At 39.5% G+C, this 23,824-nt stretch overlaps 1 protein-coding gene across 1 annotated transcript in view, besides 2 other annotated features; it reads left to right on the forward strand.

Annotated features, from left to right (window-relative positions):
• Nucleotides 1–23,824, forward strand: part of PLPPR1 (phospholipid phosphatase related 1) — a 296,409-nt gene that overhangs the window by 50,868 nt on the left and 221,717 nt on the right. The window lies entirely within an intron of this gene.
• Nucleotides 18,575–19,146: an enhancer, noted in NCBI's record as "OCT4-NANOG hESC enhancer chr9:103860451-103861022 (GRCh37/hg19 assembly coordinates)". NCBI's record gives its function as "activates a minimal SCP1, AML or CMV promoter by ChIP-STARR-seq in naive H9 embryonic stem cells {active_cell/tissue: H9 hESC(naive)}" and the evidence as "EXISTENCE:reporter gene assay evidence [ECO:0000049][PMID:30033119]".
• Nucleotides 19,147–19,716: an enhancer, noted in NCBI's record as "OCT4-NANOG hESC enhancer chr9:103861023-103861592 (GRCh37/hg19 assembly coordinates)". NCBI's record gives its function as "activates a minimal SCP1, AML or CMV promoter by ChIP-STARR-seq in naive H9 embryonic stem cells {active_cell/tissue: H9 hESC(naive)}" and the evidence as "EXISTENCE:reporter gene assay evidence [ECO:0000049][PMID:30033119]".

Genomic DNA, 23,824 nt, shown 5'->3' on the forward strand with positions numbered 1-23,824 from the left:
TTTGAGACAGAGTCTAGCTCTTTCGCCCAGGCTGGAGTGCAGTGGCACGATCTTGGCTCACTGCAACCTCTGTCTCCCAGGTTCACGCGATTCTCCTGCCTCAGCCTCCTGAGTAGCTGGGATTACAGGTGTGCGCCACAACACCTGGCTAATTTTTGTATTTTTAGTAGAGGCTTGGTTTCACCATGTTGGTCAGGCTAGTCTTGAACTCCTGACCTCGTGATCCACCTGCCTCAGCCTCCCAAGTGCTGGGATTACAGGCATGAGCCACCACGCCCAGCCTAGACTCTCCATTCTTTATAGGAAAGCCTATTTTTTTCTCATTCTGGAAGTTTCTGGCATCTTTTAATTCTCCCTAAAATTCTGAAATTTTACTGTGAAATTTCATACAATGTCTTAATAGGAATCTATTTTACCCATTACACTGGGCCATTAGGCTAGTCAGAGCTTTAAATCTAAGATTTATATCTTCCATGTGTAGAAAATTTCCTTGAGTTTTTTTTCACTGACAGTTCCTCTCTTCTGTTTTCTCTGTTCTATCTGATGATTCGATTTTTGAAATGTGAACATATTTAGAATCTCTGCATACTATGGAGAGATTTGTTGACTCTGGCCTTTACTGTAGGGTGATTGGATGGACTCTTTTCTTACAGAACTTCTGATATGGCTGGGTGCAGTGGCTCATGCCTGTAATTCCAGCATTTTGGGAGGCTACCCTAAGAGTTCAAGACCAGCCCGGCTGACATGCAAAAGCCTTGCCTTTACAAAAATTAGCAAGGCATGGTAGCACATGCCTGTAGTCCCAGCTGCTTGAGAGTCTGAGATGGGAGAATTGCCAGAGCCTGGGGAGGTTGAGGCTGCAATGAGCCATGATTGTGCCACTGCATTGCAGCCTGGGCAACAGAGTAAGACCCTGTTTCAAAAAATAAAATAAAAATAAACAAAAACAAACAAACAAGCAAACAACTAACCCCCACCAAAACAACAACAACCAAACAACAAAAATACTGATATCAATATCTTTAGAATTTTCTCTTTGGCTGGTTACAATCCCCAGAGAAATCTCTTCTAATCCCCTGCATGTCTGCCAACCTCCGGGAACTGAGAGATGGAAAGGGGCTGAGGTCTGAGCATTCAGTTTGTAAATGCTCTATAATTCTATCGTTTTCAGTATGGGGCTTTGCACTCAACTGTTTGGAGACCCTTTTTTCCCATTCCTGAGAATAGAGCTCCAGGTTCTACTAAGATGGAGAAAGAACAATGGTAGTAGACTAAGGAGGAGCAAATGCTTCCTAAACACTCTTCTAACACATCTTCCTGTGTTTAGCCGTATCATCTTTCTCCCTTTCAGAAGTATCTGGTGCCATTGATTCCGGAGCCTAGTGGGAGTTCTGCAGTGTAGAACAGATTGTTTCTTGCCTTTTCCTGCTGCTGATTTAGAATTCTGCTTTCTCAGTCTACCAAGTCAGTTGTCACCCATCCTTCCATTCTCTAGCCCCCAACATTTTAGATTATTGTCTCCTCTCCCATTTTCCTTTGTGAGTTCAAGCATTTAAAAAATATCTTGCTTGGGATTTAATGTGGTTTGGGGGGTGGGTGCAGAACTAAGTATGTGCTTTTTTTTAATTTTTATTTTTTTGAGACAGAGTCTCGCTCTGTCACCCGGGCTGGAGTGCAGTGGTGCGATCTCGCCTCACTGCAACCTCTGCCTCCCTCCCAGGTTCAAGCAATTCTCTGTCTCAAACGCCTGCCACCACGCCCAGCTAATTTTTGTATTTTTAGTAGAGATGGGGTTTTACCATCTTGGCCAGGCTGGTCTGGAACTCCTGACCTCATGATCCACCCACCTCAGCCTCCCAAAGTGCTGGGATTACAGGCATAAGCCACCATGCCCGGCCAATGCATGTATTTAATTCACCACTTTAAATCAGAAATGCCTTCCAATCTATTTCCTCCCCTCTAGTCTCTGAATTGGGTTAGAAGAAGTGGAGAATTATATGAATTATGGCATCTCTATCCCTATACTTCCCCATTAGAAATCAGAAATAGGTACAGTAAATTTAGATTAATTTTTTTCTCTGTGTTACATATCGACATGGTCCAATTCTGTTTCTGCTTAACGTAAGATGAGCAGAGATGTATTTAAATCTTAGAAAAAGGAATGGAGATTAGGTAATAGCAGAAATCTCCAGACTGTGTGGGATGTTGAAATGTGTTATCAGGGGAATCCGCTGAAGCTTGTGAGTAGCTGAATTGACACAGAGCTAGGAGCATAAGCTTGGATCTTAACTTGGCTGGCATTGCCTTTGTAAGGCACAACAATTGGTGCAAGAAGAAGCACACTCTTTTCTTTGTCTGGATTAGGAAATATCTGCAATTTTAAGCAGGTGCAATGCTCTGGTTGATGCATCTTTAGATATTGAAGAGTTGTCCCTGAGATCAAGTCAGTTACATCCAATTAATGTCTGGGCTTCATTTTTGAGAGTGGAGGATGTAGTGGCTGTCAGACGGGCAGTGCCTTAGAGACAACTGTGGAGGGGAATAAGGGGCTCTAGCTATGGGTTTGAAAACCACCACATGTAATCCACCTATTAATACTATATCTTCCAATTTCTTGTTGAAAAAGTGGTGTCTGATTACCCTGTTACTATTACAGTCCCTAGGTTTACTTGCTCAGCCATTTGTTTTTCTTCTCTGTTATCTCTCATATTAGTTACAACATTAGCTTACCTAGATATTTTGGGGGTAATTTTTTTCTCTCTTCTGGTGAGAGTGAGGGGGTGTTGGGGTAAGCAGAAAAGCATTCCTCCTCCCCCACCAAGGAGGGGATTTTTATTTTTATTTTTTTAGGAAAAAAGTGGTTTGCCCCTGTGAAGTTCACCTTAGGTGATGAGATGTTATTGCATATGGTGAATCCAGTGCTGCAGGGAGAAAGCTATCTTTGCCATGCATTAAACTGGATTGGATATATGTTTAACTGCAAAGTCAAGCTCGTGAAAATAAAGTTGTCATTTACTAGTTTGCACTGGAAGCTTGGCCACTCCTTACCTTTTCTGGGTTTTAAATTTGGAACGATAATGCTGGTATACTGATTATTTATTTGGCAAGGATTTTCCAGTCCCATGTGTTATTCAGGAGTAAAGATCATGGGCTTTGGGGAGAGATAAACCTGGGTCTAAATGTGTGTGACTTGGATCAAGCAAGTTAATCTTTCTAAATCTCAGCCTTCTTACTTGTAAAATGGGGATGATGTGAATGTTCCTCTTAGGGTTGCTGTGAAGATTAAATAAGCAAATATAAGTAAATTGCTCAGCATGTGCCAGTGAGGGACAACTACTGTCATCACCCTGATTTTCATTGCTGTCATGACTATTCAAAGATACCGAATATCAGAAGGGAGAAGAAGGAGAAAAAGGAATTTCCTAAGTGGCATGGGAGTAAGCTGAGGCCCGGCCTTTTCTTTAGAATCTAGTTTAAGGACTGTAAACGCCTGATTCTACAGCACAGATCAGCAAATGAATCCTGCTTTATGGAACAGGAACGTACACTAGTTCTCTCTAGAATTTTTGTTTTCTTTTTTTTGAGATCGAGTCTCACTCTGTTACCCAGGCTGGAGTGCAGTGGCGCAATCTTGGCTCAAGGCAACCTCCGGCTCTGGGGTTCGAACGATTCTCCTGCCTCAGCCTCCTGAATAGCTGAGATTACAGGTGTCAACCTGGGAGGTGGAGGTTGCTGTGAGCCCAGATCGTGCCAATGCACTCCAGCCTGGGTGACAGAGCAAGACTCCATCTCAAGAAAAAAAAAAAAAAAAAGTTATGCAAAATTGACTGGAAAGAATAGCATGTAGTAAATGAAGCCTTTTTTCTTTCTCCTGTTATTAAATCAAATGCATTTCATAAAGGAGCAGGAGCCTCTTAAATAAATGCAATGAAGCCTCCCGTAAGCATTTACTCCAGGGACTAACAAAAATCAATTGGTTACTCAAGGTAGATCTTTAACAAAAGATTGAATCAAAATGACATTGAAAATTACATCTACACCATAAAGCAGTGTCCCCGTAAGAGGAGTGATCGCTTACCATGCAGCATCCTCAGTGTAGATTCCTTTATCTATTTTAAAGAAGAAGGCTTGATTGAGGAATGCCGCATTGAATACGAAGATTTATTCTTTCATCTGTTTACTTATAAATGCTCAGATTCTTTATTTTAAATAACTAAGAGAAAGAAAGAATATTCCCAAGCCTTATAAAAACAAGAGTAAGTACAGTCATGCATAATTCTCATGAGACCTCCACCTTGGCTGATACTGCCTAATTAATCTTTACAGCTCATCTGTAAGGAGGATGCAGTTTAAATGTGTCCCAATCTGTAGATCTAATAACTATGGAGCATAGAAGATAAATTGTGTTTGGCCTGAGTGGCTGGGTTTAGAGGAGTTCTCTACAGTCACTATAATGAGGCCTATTCTAAGCTTTGCACACAAGGGGACTTTGACTCAGAGCTTTCTGTGTGGGATTCCTGGGAGGCTGTCTAATCAGGGAAAATTTGTTGGAAATGATCAGGTGGTCCTAGCCATTGGAGGAGTAACACAGTCTGTGCTATGCTTTTGAGACCTGCTTGGACCCAGTCTCTTTTCTAAATTCCAGGATCTGGATAGGTTGAAGATGCTGTGCCCAGCAAGGTACATGGTGAAAATTCCTACCAGTGATACTAAAGGAACTAAAACTCTTATGCATCACCAGATGCCTATGGAGGCGGTTCCCTAAGAGTGAAAGCAGTGTGGCAATGATGATGCTGACATGATGATGGTGACAGTGATGATGATGATTTATTTAATGCTGCTCTGGTAGGCCCAGAGCCACATGCTCTATTTTCTTTACCTTTAATCTACACAATCTTCTGTGCAGTTGGTACTATTATAACACCAAGTTTATAAAGGAGAAGTAAAGTCTCTGGCTTTTGTTAGGAAAGAAAAAAGCGGAAAACCAGAGCTTCATAGAGGGAGTCATGCTTTTCTAATGTACGATGTGACAGTTTGCTTTGCAAGGCTTCTTTGGTTTGTTACAGTTCTGTTCAATTTTTGATTCAAGGATTTCTTTGGGACATGGTATGTAGGTCTTTGACTAGGTACTAAGCATAAAGAAAGGAAAATAGGCCTAGTGCCTATCCTTAAGAAATTCAGTCTACCTTGGGCTACAAACCCAAATTCTTTCAGGGACAATCATGCTGTGTGACATCGATGAATATGACAGTGTGACAGGGCCTGAGTCTGGCCAGAGAATGCATGTCCCACCTAAAGGTGTTCCAATTAAGATAAACAGCAATGGCAACAAAAATCCTTGCCACATAAGCAGAACTCCTCTCTGGGATGGGTTAGGCCTGGTCATTATTTTTGTGATTCATGGGCTAGTTATTTCTTTATTCCTTGACCAATAGAATGTTTGTTATTTTTCATATTAAAATAAAACACAGTTTCTGTACCTCTCTGCTGTGGAAGCTTAGGAGCCAATGGATAGCCATGATCTCCTGCTTTGAGGATACCACTGTAATGGGAATGGAGCAGGTTCACAGACAGAAACAGACACAAGAGGGAGGGGGTGAAAAAGAGTCCAGATGGCATTCATATCCCTGGCCCCAGTTGTCTCCAAGGCCCAGTGATACATTTCCTGCAATTTGGTTGTTCAACTATTTATTTAGTTACAAAAAAAGATACTCTAGAATATCTTTCCAAGATCCTTTTCTTTGGCTAAAGCTAGTTTAACTTCAGTTGCTACCCCTTGAATCTAAAAATGACTTGACTAATTCACAGGGCTGCCTGTGAGGTCAGTAAGGAAGATGAAGGAGGTAGGGGAGAGTCAAGGATGAGAGGATGGGATCCATCTACAGAGCACATGGCCAGATGGGGCAATTTATAATCATAATCCTAAACATAGAGGCATGAAGTCTTAGAAACAAACATTGGGGCCAACATTAAAAGACAAAAGATACTATAGGAATAGAGGGGGAAAAAGCGATAGAAAAAATTCAATTCTTATTTGGAAGTGAAGTCATAATTCATTAACTTTTGCCAGAAAGTTTTTAGAAAATGGATCCCGTTATTCCTCAGTAGGTCAAAGACAGGGACTTTAAATGAGGCTGGGGCTAGTTTTCAGAAGAATGTGGTACTGGAGGCACTGGGGTAATCCGTAAAGTGGACTCACTTCTTTAGCTTGTCCCCAGAACTTACTCTGGCTTCTTGGGGTTCCACTTCCCTCATTGGAAATGGACCGGGGGGGGCTCTACTGTCTTCATCCCAATCAAGACCTTAACTCTAAGTGTCTCTTTGCCTTGTTCCTGATCTTAGGTTGGAAATTTTCAATCTGTCATCATTATGTATGAGGTTAACCATGAATGTTTTGTAGATGCCTTTTATCAGGTTGAGGAAGTTCCCTTCTATTCCTAGTTTATTGAGTGTTTTTATCATGAAAGAGTGTTAGATTTTATGAAAAGTCGATCATGTGCTTTTTGTATTTTAATCTATTGATATGATGACTATGTTCATTTGTCTACTGTCTTTAATGTAGCTTCTTGAACACTGAGGACATTTATCTCTGTATACTCAACTCATGTCATCACTTGAGCTCTTTGATAGCAGATATTAGGCTAGAATTTGGGGCACAAGAGTTTTACTGGGGATCGGCACTTATGGAAGAGGTGGGAGGAAGCAAGATTAGGCAGGGGAAGAAGGTAAACGGTGATATATGTCTGACAAAATCTCAGCCAATCTGTCAGGGAGCTCTGGGATAGGAATTTTCCATCAGAGTTGTCCTATGATGGGTCAAAATGATTGGACCTTTTTGCCCATTTTGCTCAGTAACCAAATGTGGTCTACCCCATGAAGGGTGTGTCCCATAGCCAGGTAGCTGCCTACAGCTGAAGTGACTGTGAAGATGCTTATATCTGGAGGCTGTCTTCAGTAATCTTCCCCTGAAGGGTGATCTGGGCTATACATTACTATGTCAACCACACCACTGCTCATAGAAATCTGAGACTCTCACCCAACATTTGTTCTAGTATCAGAGGTTTCAGTCACAGAGTAGAACAGAAGTGTGTAGATAACCTTTATATCCTTGGTCAAAATCTATATACAAAATCTGTATAGTAGGCCAATAGCCACAAATCCATAAGCAGGTTCCCATACTCCTTCATGGACTTCTTACCAGCACAGAAAACTCTATATCCACAGTGTTCCAAGGCTTTGATGACTAATCTAAATATTATCTCATGAGAAGCAGGTCAGCCCCAAATAAAAAAATATTTGAAAGTCTGGGAGCAGCAACTCAGGCCTATAATCCTAACACTTTGGGAGGCCAAGGAGGGTGGATCACTTGAGGTCAGGAGTTTGAGACCAGCCTGGCCAACATGGTGAAACACCATCTCTACTAAAAATACAAGATTTAGCTAGGCATGGTGATGTACACTGTAATCCCAGCTACTCAGAAGGCTGAGGCAGGAGAATCACCTGGATCCAGGAGGTAGAGGTTGCAGTGAGCCAAGACTGCGCCACTGTACTCCAGCCTGGGTGACAGACTGAGTGAGACTCTGTCTCAAAAAAAAAAAAATAAAATAAAAATAAAAAAAATTGAGATTAGATTTGTATTTTCTATGATGACAGATAATTCTTATAAAATCTAAGAAGTGAAGTTTTACTGACACTCTCTTCATTTAAGAAAGGAAATTTTTAATTGAATATGTACTTTAATGTCCCTGTTTTATGTTTATTTATTCTGCTAGTCTTTTCTCATTGTCATCTTCATTTTTCTACTAAAAGTCTCCATACATGTTATTCAGGAAGCCATAGAAATCATGAGAAGAAAAGAACGAGAGATGTAAAAATTATATCTACTTCTACCAAAGAAACGTTTATAAAATGTAGGATAAATACTTGGCTTGCTGTGGGTTTCACTTTTTATTCACTCTAGCTTTGTTTCTCTAGGTCTCACTTTAGTGGCCCTCTAAAACCAATGTAGACTGGGTTGAATTTACTTGTTCTTTGTTCTCAGAAAATGTGGCATAATGAACAGGAAACCACATTTACACTGATGTGAAGTGTCAATACATTTTATGTAAATAAGTCTCTAGGGTCTTACATAGATTATCTGGGAAGTGGGAAGGGAGAAATTAACCCATTCAGTGTTGCTAATCATTGATCGTAATCTTTTCTAGAAGTGAGAGTGACTATTTGGTATTATTTTATTCAGAATTGTCTACGTATTGTTTTCTGTGTCAAATGTTTCTTCCACAAATGAAATCACCAATCATTCCTTTAATCTGAAATTTGACTCATTAATAACAGGTGTTAGATGTATCTCTGTCTCTCTGATAAATGCCAGCACTAAGCAGAGAGACTGGTACATGGTAGAGAGTTTGTCAACACTGCACGAACAAATGCTTTTAGGCCTTTTCAAGTACAAATTAGAAGAGGACCCTTACTGATAGTTTGGAATATGAAAAGAAGCATCAAAATTTCCCCTGCCTTCAATTCTACCCTCCTTATCCTCATGGAAATGACTAGTTGAATTTAGATATTGCAGGGAACATCAAGGAATTTCTGATAAAACGGTGCAGGTATGTCCAGATGGAAAGTGACTTTGAGGACCAATAAAGAATTTGTGGTAAGAGTACAGAAAATCTACTCTCAGCAAATTTCCAATATGTGCAATGATGGTTGTTCATTTACCTGATGGCAGTAATCACTTCGGTATGTATATTAAAACGTCATGATGTACACCTTAAATGTATAAAATTAAAAATAAAATAATTATTGAAAAAAAGTAATTCTAATATAAAAATATTTATTTGCTTATGAAACGACTGTCTCCTCTCTATTTATAGAAGTCAGATAGGCCATATAGTAGGCAAATGAAATTGCCAGATGAATAGCATAGAAGTTGAAAATAAATAGTCTCACTTTGTGTTTCCTTTCTTTTAAAAAAAATAAAACGCAGAGTTTGGTTCTGTAATATTGAGCAACTGTTGATTTTCATGATAGCTATATCAGAACATCTTAAGTAATCAGCAATAAAATTTTCCATTGTTGAGCTCTATATGAGCAAAAAGACATTTTTTTATTGCTCTCACCCTGTAAAATGCTTTGAGGAAATTACAGCAAGATTACAATGAGAAATGGTTGGCAATGATATTTCAGCTGTCATTTATCTTATAGTAATCACTTTTAACCTGCTTAGCCTTTTATTATTCCATGTCTAAAAATCTCCTTTATAATGAAATTACAACATTAAATGGAAAGTAACAACACAAACACAAAAGAGCTACTCATATTTGCTGTGCTGCATCATTACTGATCCTGGAATGTTAGTACTCAGCTGATGAAACAAATATCTTGACACCTTACAACAATTATAAATCATGAACATTTAAAACTCACAGGGATTACCTTTCCTGGTGAGTTGTCATGGATCTCTGATTCCTGATAAGCTAATTCTAGGAGACTGGCGTATAATAGTGGGTAACTTTTATTAACTATGTAGTATTTGGCAGGCATTATGCTAATATGTGTTAAATCAGTTTTATCATTCAATCCTCACAACAGCCAAATGAGAAAGTTCTTATTCTCATTTTACAGATTATTAAATAGATGTTCAAAAAGTTAAGGGACTTGCCCAGGAATACATAGTAAGTAATAAAGCTAGAATATAGATAGATAGATAGATAGATAGATAGATAGATAGATAGATAGTAGTTAATTGTTGTTAACCAAACACATTGTTATTGTAACTAGTTTAATTAAATATATTTTGAAAAATACTATTAGTATTCTCATGATTATATTCACTGTAGAAAAATCAGAAAACAAGAAAAGTGTTAAGATGAAGATAGAAATCGCCCACGCTTTCCTTTAATGCTTGTCATTGTTTAGATATACACGTGAAGTACAAAGTTGGAATAATATCGGACCAAATGTAACCTGCTTTTCCATGTAAAAATGTAGTATGAACATTTGTTCATATCATTAGTTTTCTTCTAAAATGGTATTTTAATAGTGTTTAACACATGATATTTCACCTTATAAATACATGGTTTAGTCAGCCAACTTCTTATTTTCATTTTGATTTGTTTTTCTAATTTTTCATCATTATAAACTTATCACAGTGAACCTTCCTGTTTAAGAGTCTCTTGTTATTTTTAATTATTATAAATTAATTGAGATTGAGTCAAAATTACTGCTTTAGAAGCATTTGATACATATTTCTAAACTGTCCTGGGGCAGATTTTTGCAAGATGTATTAGTTGTCCAGGGCTGCAGTAACAAAATACCACAAACTTGGTGGATTAGTACAGCAAAAATTTATTGTCTCACAGACTGGAGGCTTGGAGTCTGAGAACAAGGTGTTGGCTGGTCTGTGCTCCCTCTGAAACCTGTAGGGGAAGGATCATCTCTTGCTTTTTCCAGCTTCTGGGAGCCCCAGACATATTCCTTGGTTTGTGGCAGCATGACTCCAATCTTCACACAGCATATTCTCCCTGTGTCTCTTCACACTTTCTGCCCTCTGTGTCTGTATTCAAATTTCCTTTTTATATAACGACATGAGCCCTAGTAGATTAGAACCTCTTAACTTGGATAAATCTGCAAAGACCCCGTTTCCAAACAAGGTCACATTCTGAGGTATAGGGGGTTGTGACTTCAGTGTATCTTTTTGGGGGGACATAATTCAACACATATCACCAAGTATACAATCTTTATCAATGTATAAGAGTCCTTATTTCCCTGAAATTTCACCAGGACTGCATAAAATTTAATAAATAAAAAAGATTTCATGTTTGCTGATTTAAAGATGAAAAACTGTGTGCACACACATGCAGGTGTTGTTTGATTTCTATTGAAATTGTGCATTTTCTTATGGATGATTATGCTTTCCCTCAATCCACCCTTGACCCACCCCAGTCTGGCTTCCAGAGTGCCAGTAGCCTCCTTCCACCTGAGTTCAGTGTTCACGTCTCCGTTTTTTAACTGCTATAACCTCTTCAATAGTAATGCATTCTGAACCTGGGAGGCGGAGTTTGCAGTGAGCCGAGATCGTGCCACTGCTCTCCAGCCTGGACGACAGAGCAAGACTCTGTCTCAAAACAAACAAACAAACAAACAAACAAACAAACAAACAGTAATGCATTATTGGGACCCACCTTTCCTTCTTGAAACATATTTTAAGTTTGCCTTGCATGGCTGTGCCTTTCTGGTTTTCTTCCTTTCTTCTTGGCTGCTCCTTTTCAACTTCATGTGCTTCTTTTTTTTTCCCCATCCTCTAAATTCCACTGTTCTTCATGGTTGTGTGCTAGGTCCCTTCCTATCCTCCTTCCCTCCCTTTCTTTTCCCCTCCTCCCTTTTCTTCTTCCCCCCTCCACTGTTCCTCTGCTTGGTAGCCTAAATTACCACATATGTTAATCAATCTCAAATCTGCATCTCTAATCTAGAGTTATTTTCTGATCTTCAGACCCATGCATGTACCTGACATCAGTATTGCAGAACTCCAAATTCAATGTGTTTAGAAGTGAATCAACACCTTTCTCCTTAACCTGTTTCTCCCCTCCTATGTTTCCTTACAGAAACACCATCTCATATAGTTGCCCAGGACAGAATCTTGGTATCATCCTCAATCCCTCCTCTCTCTCACTGTGTTAATTTTTTATTGCTGCTCTAACAAATTGTCGCAGAATTAGTGATTTAAATGTACAACTTTAGTATCTTACATTTCTGGAGGTCAGTAGTTCACAATGACCCTCACTGAGCCAAAGTCAAGATGTTGGCAGGGCGGCATGTCTTCTGGAGGCTCTGGGGGAGAATCTGTTTTCTTGCTTTTCCTAGTGTTCCTTGGGTCATAGCTGCCTTCCTTCATCTTCAAACCCAGCAAGTTCAGCCTAAGTCCTTCTTACACTGCCAATTCCTCTGGCTCTCTCTTTTGTCTTCCTCTTCCACCCTTAAGGCTCCTTGTGGTCACATTGGGCCTACCATGATAATGTAGGATAATCTCTATATTTAAGGTCATCTGGTTAGCAACCTAATTCCATCTGCAACCTTAATCCCCCTTTTCTGTATAACCTAGTATATTCATAGATTCTGGGGATTCGTCCAGGGACATCTTTGGGTAGTTATTATTCTGCCTACCATACCTTTCTTAGCTAATTAGCTACTCCATCTAAAGGCTTTTATCTCTTAAATATATCTCAACCATTCCAGTTTCCTTTTCCTTTCTTGTCTTGACTTGCAATTCGGATCTCATCAACTCTCACTTGAATTGTGCAGATAATCTCCTAACTGGCCTCCCAGCTTTTGGCTTTCTCCTTGCCAAGGCATTCGAAACGCCTCCTTCCCTCTGCACTTCTTAACGTGAAGCATGGGTCCCCTCTTGATGTATCCATTGCTTACATCCCCAGCTGCTTCTCTTGACACTCTCTCCTTGCACCCTTTATTTCAGCTGCTTCTGAACTTCATCTTCCTCCAGCACAACATGCTCTCTCTCACCTCTGGGCCCGTACACCTGTTCCTTCAAAGTAGAACACATTGTGTTTCTATCTTTGTCTTGCTAAAGTCTACTTCTCTTTCAGGTGTCATTTTAAATGTCACTTTCTTTAGGAAGCCTCTGCTGATCCCCGTCCTCCAAATTGTTATATGTCCCTACTTCCCTATTTCAGAACCTATTAATTTTGTGATTTATTGTTGTTGTTGTTTATTTAACTATCTCTCTGCTCTTCTTGACTCTAAGTTTCATCAGGACCAGGAGGGAGTCATATCTGTCCAGTTTATCACTCCTAGTATATTTTTAGTGCCTAACTGGTATTTGACATAGTAATTTCTCAACATAAATTTGGTGAATAAGGGTATCACCATAGTTTAAATCCTTATTAAATAAAATGGGTGCCCAGTCCAGCCTTGCCTACCTCTTGAGCCTTATCCTACCTCTCTGTGCCCCATGCACACTGGCCTTTCAGCATTTCCAGGGGCCCTTACTCCCTCGTGCTGCAGGAACATTGCACCCTGCGTCCTGTCTCTGAAGTGAATTCCCATGTCCATGCTTATCCTCCAGATCTCGGCTCAGGGCTCACCTCTTCAGGGAAATCTTCCTTGACTTCCATCTTATTACGGACTAATTGTTTGTGTCCCCTCAAAATCCATCTATTGGAACCCTGATTCTCGCTGTGATGGTATTAGGAGGTGGGATCTTTGAAAGGGAATTACGGTTAGATGAGGTCACGAGGCGAGGGTCCCCATGATGGGATTAGTGTCCTTATAAGAAGAGGAAAAGACTGGAGCTTACTCTTCCTCTCTTCTTTGTGAAGACACAGTGAGAAAATGACCATCTGCAAACCAGGAAGAGGGCCCTCACCAGACACCAAATCTAATAGCACTGTGGTCTAGGACTTTCCAGCTTCCAGAGAAATAAATGTTGTTTAAGCTACTGCTACCGAGCCTATGGTCTTTTATTATGGCAGCTTGAGCTTTAGACATACTCTCACTACTTTCTAAGGAAGGAAGGAGAGAGGCAAGTCACCAGCTTTGAGTCATTTTCAAATTTGATAAGAATAACAATAGCACTTTCATCTAAATTATAGACTAAAAGCTTGAACAGGATTGAGCCAAATACAGAAACCTGGGAATGCTGAAACTTCCCTCCAAGTTAATACTAATCCATTAATCAACACTCTCAGTTATTAATAGGCTGCCACCAAGCCCATGTAGAAAATATGAACGATAAAGTAATCACTGGGGAATCTTGAAAGCTAGATTTAATATTTCAGAAAAATTCATTCATTAATTTATTCACTCAATTGAGTGCCCACTTAATATGTAGCCCTGACATTTTTAACTGAATATTTTGGTCATGGGAGCTATAACAGAGCTTAGAAACTTCAGAATGTCAGCCTTCTGCCTATTCAGAAGTCATGTAATTAGTTCCTTGTCTGTTTTGATGCATCTAGCAAACATGCCACAACCATGGACCAATTTTGCATTCAACCCTATGTTCTTCTACTTTAACTTTAAAATTTTCATCCATCTACTCAACTGACATGTAAGTGCATCACTACTACATAGCAGCCACTTCCATCTTCTTTGCTTAAATGAAATGGAGATTGTGACTACCTCTTTTCACTAGATCAGCCTTGGGGCTTTATCATCCCAGAAGTAGTCAAGGCCCAGAATGCATGATGACCAGGAATCTGTGAATCATTGCCAGCATTCCTGGATTACTCACCAAAGGAGCAGACCATTGTTTCCAGCTCCAATGCAACATTTGATTTGTAACTTGCAGTTTTTCTGAAAGTGTGATAGGATACATGTTCTCTCTCCCAACCCCTTGTTCATGTGATCATCAAATCCCATAATTTTTACCTCTTACCTCCCATCTGCAGCTCTCCTGCTCCTCCTTTATCCAGGGCATCATCATCATCCATCTGAATTGCAGCCAGAATATTCTAGTAAGCTCCCTTCTTCCTGCCTTGCCACTCTCCGGATATTCTTCATATGGTAGCCAGAGTGATATTTCTAAAAGACAAATCAACTCAAGCCATTCTCTTTCTTAAAGACCTTCAGTGGCTCCCTATTACCCATGGGCTTATGTCTAATCTCCTATCAAGACACTTAAGGCCTTTGCTATCTGGTTCTAACCTTCCTCTATAGCTCGCATTTTTTCTATTCTCTGTATAGTATCTTTGGCTCCTTTCATTTCCCTGATTGTATTACCCTCCTGTGCCTTTGCAGTTGCTAGTGTTCTTTTGCAACATCCTACTTTCTCTGTCTTGCTGAATACACAGGAATGCAGAATGCACTCAAACACGCCAGAGAAGCTCTCTGGAGCACACCCACCTCACCAAACCCATGCATAATTAGGCATTCTTTCCTTTATATTTTTATGTTTATAAAAATCAGATTAGATTAATAGATTATTGATCCCTTGAGCTTAGGACTGTTTTATTTTCCTATATCCCTCAAAACTAAAACATGCAGCTATACATTATATAGTTGTTGAATTAATTCATAAATACCATCATATTAGAAAATGCTTATATGGTCGTTAGTCTATGTCAGGCACTGTTCTAAACACTGCACATAGGTTGCCTCATTTAAAGAATGAATGCATACAGCCAGGTGATCCTTTTGGTTGATAAGCACCAAATTGTGAGTTAAATGTGGCAAACATGGGAAAACTACTTTAGCAGCCACTGTGTCACCAACCCACAATCCCATTTTCTTGCTTCCACTTTTTTCAGCTCACTAGTGACCTCCCATGGGGCTTCAGTCTATCTCCATTCTAGAAACAATCTGATATTAGGCAGGAAGTTTCAAGGACCCCCATCCTCTTCCCTAGTGCCTGGTAGCATCAAGCCTCAGTGCTGAACACAAGCTCCAGGCTGTGTTGTCGATGGCCTTGCAGCTAATCTGACCCAGTGTAAGGTGTCTGAATAGTGACTGTAGTCAGTGTTTATATAGTTGTCTATCCCTTTCTCAGATCTTCAAATTGTCTGTCCTGGAATGGTCCATTAGTACCATGTTTTCCAAGCTCAATAGTCTCACTTCTTCTATCCTCATGTGCCTCAGTCAATAGGATGGTACTTTAGACTGAATCCCTATTCCAAGATTTTATTTGAATAACATCTGAGATAACTGGGACTTCTATTCATTCCCCACTGCTTCCTATGCTTCTGCTGAGGAGTTTTCTGACAGCTGTGGGTAGAATTATAGTAGCTGATTGTTTGTTGGACTGCTGGACTTTTGAGCATTGTCCTTACTACTCCTTGGAGGTTCCTGGTCTGGATCTTTCTTGAGACTGTGATGGGCTTGTTTGCCTGTATAAATGGAGCTTGGCTGCCAGTCCAAACCTTACCTGCATGTATCATGGTAGTTTCGATGTGAGAAAGCATAATTTTTGCCTTTGTTTAGCTTATAACATAATCCTTTTTTAAAAGCTAAACTTCCTTGATCACATATTATGTGCCAGACATAAAACTTTCACATAAAAGCTTCAGGGTAGGCATTACTATCCCCTTTATACGATGAAGAAACCATGTTTCTGAAATATTAAATGGTTTTCTCAAGGTCACAGAGTAAGTGGTGGAACCGAGATTCAAATTACCACCAGTCTGACTCCAAACACCAAGCTCTTTCTCTGCATATTGGAGGAGGAAACACTTGGGACACACAGAGAAGTATTTCTGGGCCTCTGAAGGAGGCTGAATTCATAATAAGTTCTCAATCAATACTCTTTGCTTTAAATGTTGACCCAGTGTTGCTGTCCAAGCCTTTCTTATTGATTGTGGTTAAAGCAATTGTAACATCATGAAGTAGAACCAATCAAAAGCTTCCCTGAAATGAATGAACATGGAATGCCTTGTAGTTACATGACTGTGGGTTGCCAAAAATGACAGAAGATGTGGTTATAAGCACATTCAAATCCAGTAAAAGCCTTACAATTGCTGGAACAATTTTCTTCAAGTAGATGAGGGTATTTGAGTGTGGCAAACAGGTATAAATTCTGTGTAAACAGTGGTGTGCTTGGGCTACCCTGAAGATCACAAAAAGTGATGAGGCAATGGGTGGGCCAGCACATTCTTCTTAAAAAGCAGTGGAATGCCAGCAGCATCAGGAAAGGGCCTGGGGGCCATAGAGGACCAAGTATACCTTTCAGAAGAAGAATAACATAATCACAGTGGGAAGTGGCCAGAACAGTAGCTACTCCTTGATCATCTCTAGCATGGATTGGTTAGCAATGCACACCTGGTACACGATACAATATCTGAGTGAGTGCACATATAATGCAATGATCCATCGGTGTCTACATGAGCAAGAGTGATCTGAATAGGCATATATAACATCAGAAGATGTTTGTGAAGCATATGTATAAACATGCATAAGACCTGAGTGAACATGTGTATCATCTGCAAAAGGGTAGGTAATAGTTAAATAAGCACATGAATATCAAAGATCAAAGTGAATAGTTTAACATATGTAACATTTAAATGAGCGTTGTTAACAACACAGTGAACATTTGCATTATTTTCATGTACATGTGTGCTGTCTAATGAGGATTTGCAATATCTCAGGAATAACATCTGAATAAGCACATGTGCTATATAAATATCAGTGTGTAATGTTGGAGCTCTTTGCCATCTAAGTGAATATGGTTTTTAGAAAAGCTGGCCAGGCACAGTGGTTCACACCTGTAATCCCAGCACCTTGAGAGGCTGACGTGGAAGGATTGCTTGAGCCCAGGAGTTTGAAAGCACTCTGGGTAACATAGTGAGACCCCATCTCTACAAAAAAATTTAAAACTTAGCCAGATGTGGTGGCCCACACCTGTAGTCCCAGCTACAAGGGAGTCTAAAGTGGGAGGGATTGCTTGAGCCCAGGAGATCAAAGCTGCAGACATGTGTAACATTTTAGTGAACATGTGTATCACCCACATGAATAAGGACATCATCTGAACAGGCAGGGAGAACAGCTGAATGAGGGTGTGTGACATCTAAGTCAGTGGATCTCAAACTTGAGCATGGCCAGAATCATCTGCACAACTTGCACAGATTGCTGGGACCTCACCCCAGAGTTTCTGATTCAGCAGATTAAGGGTGAGGTTAGAATTTGCATTTCTAATGAGCTTCCAGGTGATGCTGCGCCTGGTGGTCTGGAAAGTGCATTTTGAGAACCACTGTCCTAAGTATGTGTAACACCTGCATGTAGCACCCAAGTGAACTGATTAACATCTAAGTCAGATCTAAGTGAACATGTTAACATTTAAGGGACAAATGTATCACCCAAACAAGTATTGTGCCATCTACAGGAGCACATGTAACATTTGAATGATGTGCTTAGAATATAAGTGAACCTGTGTTACATCTCAATACCTCTGTCAAACATGTGAACAAGCATGTTTAAAATCTGAGGGTATGTGGAATATCTGAGTGAGTGCTAGTACCATCTGAGTAGATTTAACCCTAGAAGGTATGTATGTGTTTTACACCTGAAAGTATTCATTGTCTGTATCATAAGACAAACATACAAATAATTACCATACACTGTGGGAAATGCAGCAACGAGTGTCCAAGGACCAGAGACACACAAGAAACAATGGCCACATTCGGAATGGAATCCACCCAGAGGAGGATGTGTGGATGGAAGAGATGACGTGTGAGGTCTGTTTCAAAAGCTGATTAGGAATTCTTCAGGATGCCAGGAAGAGGTAGGTGGGGGAGGTATTTCTGTAAGAGGGCCCAGCTAAGGCAATAAGCATAAAATATAAAATAGCTTGGCATGTCTGGAGAACCTCATGTAGTTTTGGATTTGTATAATGAAAATACGAGGAGTAGAGAATGAGACTAGAGTGTTCATGAGACATCAGGTCACAGAAGTCCTTGTGGCCTATAACACTGAACCTGAACATGGTGGTGCTTTTTTTCCCCCTCCCAGTAAGTGATAGAGCATCAATGCATAGATTTAAGCAAGGAAGTCATGTGATTGGTTTGTGTTCAGAAATATCACTCTGGAGGCCGAGTGGAAGATAGATTGGAAATGTAGCAGGAAATCTACTGCCAACATCTGTTTATGCCAGATGATAAGGTCTTAAATTATAGCAAAAGCAGTGGAAAGAGGCAGAATAAGAAGACATTTTAGAAGTAAAATTCAATAGCACTCGTGGACTTGTGTCCTGGTGGGTCATGAGTATCAGGTAGAACGAATAAATGAGATGGGGGAGGAAGGCAGGATGCACAGGGAGGGATGATGCATTTGATATCAGACACAGTCAATCGAGGCACTTCTGCAACATTCAGAAGGGGAGGTTGCATACCCCTTCTAGGGTCTGGAGGTCAGGGAATAGTTCAGGTCAAAGACAGAAGTGTGGAGATGATCTGTCAGTGATAACTAAACTCATGGGAATGGGACTGACTAGTGAATGAGTGGGGAACAAAGAGGCTAAAGATGTGGAGCCCCAGGGGTCATCAACATGTGAATGGTGGGTAAAAGAAGAGAAAGGGAAATGAAGTCAACCCATCAGGGAAGCAGGCAAGATGCAGCAGCAAGTGGCCTCTCAAAACAGTGCATCCCTTTAAAAATAGGAAAAGTGTATTTAATGTAAATGTCAAGGATCAAGTGTGTGGTTCAAGAGGAACCAACTGGGAACAGGAATTCCTGAGTTCCATCCTGGCCATGCCACTGGGTACTTTTGTGGTCTTGGTTCATTAATTGGAGTTTCTGGGCCTCCATTTTCAAATATGGAAAGTGAGAAGTGAGTCTTGAATATAAGAGAACAAGAGCTCACTAACTTCTCTTTTGTCTATAGATGAGCGTTTAAAGGCTGTCCTCGACATGCTTGTTCTTATACAAGGACAGGCTCTGGAGTTGCTCAGTCCTGGGTTCAAAGCCTAAAGGCACCAATTACTAGTTCTTTGACTCTCGGAAAGTCACTCAATCCCTCTAAACCTCAATTTTCTATAAAATAAGTCTAATGGATGTGGTGTGTGTGTGTCGGGGGGAGGCGGGGGAGGAGTGTGTTGGTCAGTGGGGATGTGAATATTTAAAGAGACAAGCCATGTAAAGTGCTTAGTAAAATGCAAACAAACCAGCAACAGCAAAACAAAACCCTATGAATGCTATTATGATGGAGAAAGTTGAATTAAATTGTTTCTAATGTCCCTCCTAGCCCAGCACTGTTTGTCTGCGTCTGTTTCCCTTTTTGTCTATGATCCTGTGATGAGCCACTTGGTAAATATTCATGTCCTAAATATTGACTAGGAAGAAGGATTTGTTTTCTGATTTCTGACATATATTGCAAAGTTGAGAGAAATTAATTGTGGTGGGAAAAAAAAGCATGAAATGCAAATATATCCAGCTCTCCCTGTCTGTGGGTTACCCATCCATGAATTCAACCAACCTCAGATTGAAAATACATGGGGAGAAAAAGGATGGTTACATCTGTACTGAACAGGTACAGACTTTTTTCCCTTTGCATCATTCCCTAGACAATACGATATGACAGCCACTTACATAGTGCTTACATTGTATTAGGTATTATAAGGAATTAAGAGATGGTTTAGGATATACAGGAGAATGACCATGCGTATGTTATATGCAAAAACTACACCATTTTATGTAAGGGATTTGAGTATCTGTAGATTTTGGTATTCTTGAGAAGTCCTGGAACAACTCCCCCATGGATACCAAGGGATGACAGTACACTAAATAAATATGGCTCACCAGAAAGTGCCCTTCTTTCTCCTCTTCTCCCCTTGAAGCAGTGAAGGAGTCTGTGCTGTATAGAACTGAAAGAGAGTTTTCCACTAATGTCCAATAATAAATTGCTTCCCAGATCCAGTCACTGATGATTATTTTTTCTCAGTGTATTGCAGTAAAATGAGAAAGAGTTATAGATTTGGGAAAAAAATGTGGTGGCTGATTATTTTCTTTCTTTCTTTTTCTGACATACGGTCAGAGGGGCTCATCATTTCCTTTACAAGAATCACATTTTAGGCATTTTTTTTCTTACGTGCAATATTCTGAAACATGAAATTTACAAAAAAAAATGAGTTAATATGGGTCCCTAACTAAATTTAGAACGCAGCAAAGTAGAAAGATAAAAAGGTCTGATTTAAAGAATGTCACACATGGAAAGTGAAGAAGATGGGAAGATCTCACCTTTGGGGTGGCAGTGATTATTTTGCAATGCAAAATTATTTCATCTCCATTTGCAAAGGCAGGCTAATGAGACTGAGTGGATTAAAGGGGGGACCTGGGAAAGGAATAAGAATTAGGTTTTACCTTCTAATTACTTATTTATTTTTATTTGTGAAAAAAACCTAAGACTGCATTTTCTAGGTATTATTGGAACTGTCTGCCTTTGTATGAGTCTTCCACCCCAACTCCTCACACTTCTCTCAACTCACCTGCTTAAAGTGCAACATCATTATTTTTGACCACTAAAATAATATAATTATTACGGAAATGTATTTTAGAACACACACTTTTATATGCTAGCATTTAAGAAATTTCAAGGAATTATTTTCTGATAATATATGGGAGAAGCTCAAAGACAGTTCATCAGAAACTATTTACTCTTTGTTCCGTGTGTGTGTGTGTGTGTGTGTGTGTGTGTGTGTGTTGTGTTCCTAGTTCATATTTATCAAGCAGTTATAATACACAGGTATTTCCCCAGGTTCTTTATAATTTAATCCTCATAGTTAGGGCCCCACAGTTAGGACTGTTATTTCCCCATTCTATAGCTAAGAGAACTGTGGTTAGTAATGCAAAGTAATTCACCCACAGTAACATAGCTAAACAGTGGGAGAATCAAATGTGAATGCAGATCTGCCTGATCTCAAAACTCACACTTTGAGCCAGTGTGCAGTATTGTGTATACTAAAAGGTATGTGTAAGTAAATTAAGCCTTAAGAAATGCACACCCATTCCTGTTAGTGTCTTGTTGAGCTTACTGCTGGAACTTTGTGCATTCTTTTATTATAGCATTTGCTCTGTGTTATAATTAGTTACATTTCTCTCATTCTTTACCAATGGTTCTTGACTTTTTTGTGTGGTGGGATGGCAGTCATGAATTCTTCTAAGGATTTATCAAAGTTAGGACCTCTCTGAAGAAACATGTGGACTGGGTTAATGTGCCAGTGATGACTTACATATCATCATATATTTCTCCCATCAAAATATAATAAGTGTCCTTGGGTTTTCTGGCTTTTTATTTATCATTCTTTTATTTAGTATGCTAATACTAAAGGAAATGTGGTCCTGTCCTGAAAATGAGTGTTTACTGTCAATGCTCCTGAATCTTTGTTACTGTATGTCACCTTTTGGTCCAGCTGCAGCTCCAGAACCAGCTCTGGACAGTGGTTGACACATTTCTTGAAGACCTGAGGATAATCTGAGGTAATTCAAATGGAAAAAAAAAAAAAGAAACAATAACAATTCAGCATCAGACATTATTGCTTTCCAAAATTTCTTATGAAACACTTTATGGAATATATGGTCATCCACTTGAATAAATGGAATAAAAGGATGAATGAAACGATAAACAAATGTAAAGATCCTTTAGATATCAATGGACCATATGGTTCAAACCCTTGAACAAAACTATTAGCTCCTTGAGGGCAAATCTTTTTTTTCTGCATTCTTCATCATTCTATAGAAGCTGATTCTCAAGAACTGTGGTATTTCTTGAATATATTTAGAGAATAAACCCATGAACCCAATACAGATAACCCTAAACCACAAAGCAGATGAGCTCCTCTGTTTAAACTTTTTCCTTTAAAGCCAGTCTAGAAGCCCTTTAAAGAGTACTTGCAAATACAAGTGCAGTACTATTCTCCCAAAAAAGAATTCTGCCATCACCTCTTCCATGCTGTTTATAAGTTACTACCTTTTTCACTTATCATGTTTCTAGTAATTTTTATGTAATTGTCTGCTTTCCCATTATACTATAAGCTTGTAAACTCCTTGAAGGTAGGAACAACTTTTTTTTTTTTTTTTTTTTTGTGGTTCCTATTATAGCTTTATTCTTTTTTTTTTTATTTTATTATTATACTTTAAGTTTTAGGGTACATGTGCACATTGTGCAGGTTAGTTACATATGTATACATGTGACATGCTGGTGCGCTGCACCCACTAACTCGTCATCTAGCATTAGGTATATCTCCCAATGCTATCCCTCCCCCATCCCCCGACCCCACCACAGTCCCCAGAGTGTGATATTCCCCTTCCTGTGTCCATGTGATCTCATTGTTCAATTCCCACCTATGAGTGAGAATATGCGGTGTTTGGTTTTTTGTTCTTGCGATAGTTTACTGAGAATGATGGTTTCCAATTTCATCCATGTCCCTACAAAGGACATGAACTCATCATTTTTTATGGCTGCATAATATTCCATGGTGTATATGTGCCACATTTTCTTAATCCAGTCTATCATTGTTGGACATTTGGGTTGGTTCCAAGTCTTTGCTATTGTGAATAATGCCGCAATAAACATACGTGTGCATGTGTCTTTATAGCAGCATGATTTATAGTCATTTGGGTATATACCCAGTAATGGGATGGCTGGGTCAAATGGTATTTCTAGTTCTAGATCCCTGAGGAATCACCACACTGACTTCCACAATGGTTGAACTAGTTTACAGTCCCACCAACAGTGTAAAAGTGTTCCTATTTCTCCACATCCTCTCCAGCACCTGTTGTTTCCTGACTTTTTAGTGATTGCCATTCTAACTGGTGTGAGATGATATCTCATAGTGGTTTTGATTTGCATTTCTCTGATGGCCAGTGATGATGAGCATTTTTTCATGTGTTTTTTGGCTGCATAAATGTCTTCTTTTGAGAAGTGTCTGTTCATGTCCTTCGCCCACTTTTTGATGGGGTTGTTTGTTTTTTTCTTGTAAATTTGTTTGAGTTCATTGTAGATTCTGGATATTAGCCCTTTGTCAGATGAGTAGGTTGCGAAAATTTTCTCCCATGTTGTAGGTTGCCTGTTCACTCTGATGGTAGTTTCTTTTGCTGTGCAGAAGCTCTTTAGTTTAATTAGATCCCATTTGTCAATTTTGGCTTTTGTTACCATTGCTTTTGGTGTTTTGGACATGAAGTCCTTGCCTACGCCTATGTCCTGAATGGTAATGCCTAGGTTTTCTTCTAGGGTTTTTATGGTTTTAGGTCTAACGTTTAAATCTTTAATCCATCTTGAATTGATTTTTGTATAAGGTGTAAGGAAGGGATCCAGTTTCAGCTTTCTACATATGGCTAGCCAGTTTTCCCAGCACCATTTATTAAATAGGGAATCCTTTCCCCATTG

This window comes from Homo sapiens, chromosome 9 (genome assembly GCF_000001405.40).
Source record: "Homo sapiens chromosome 9, GRCh38.p14 Primary Assembly".
Classification (NCBI taxonomy): domain Eukaryota; kingdom Metazoa; phylum Chordata; class Mammalia; order Primates; family Hominidae; genus Homo; species Homo sapiens.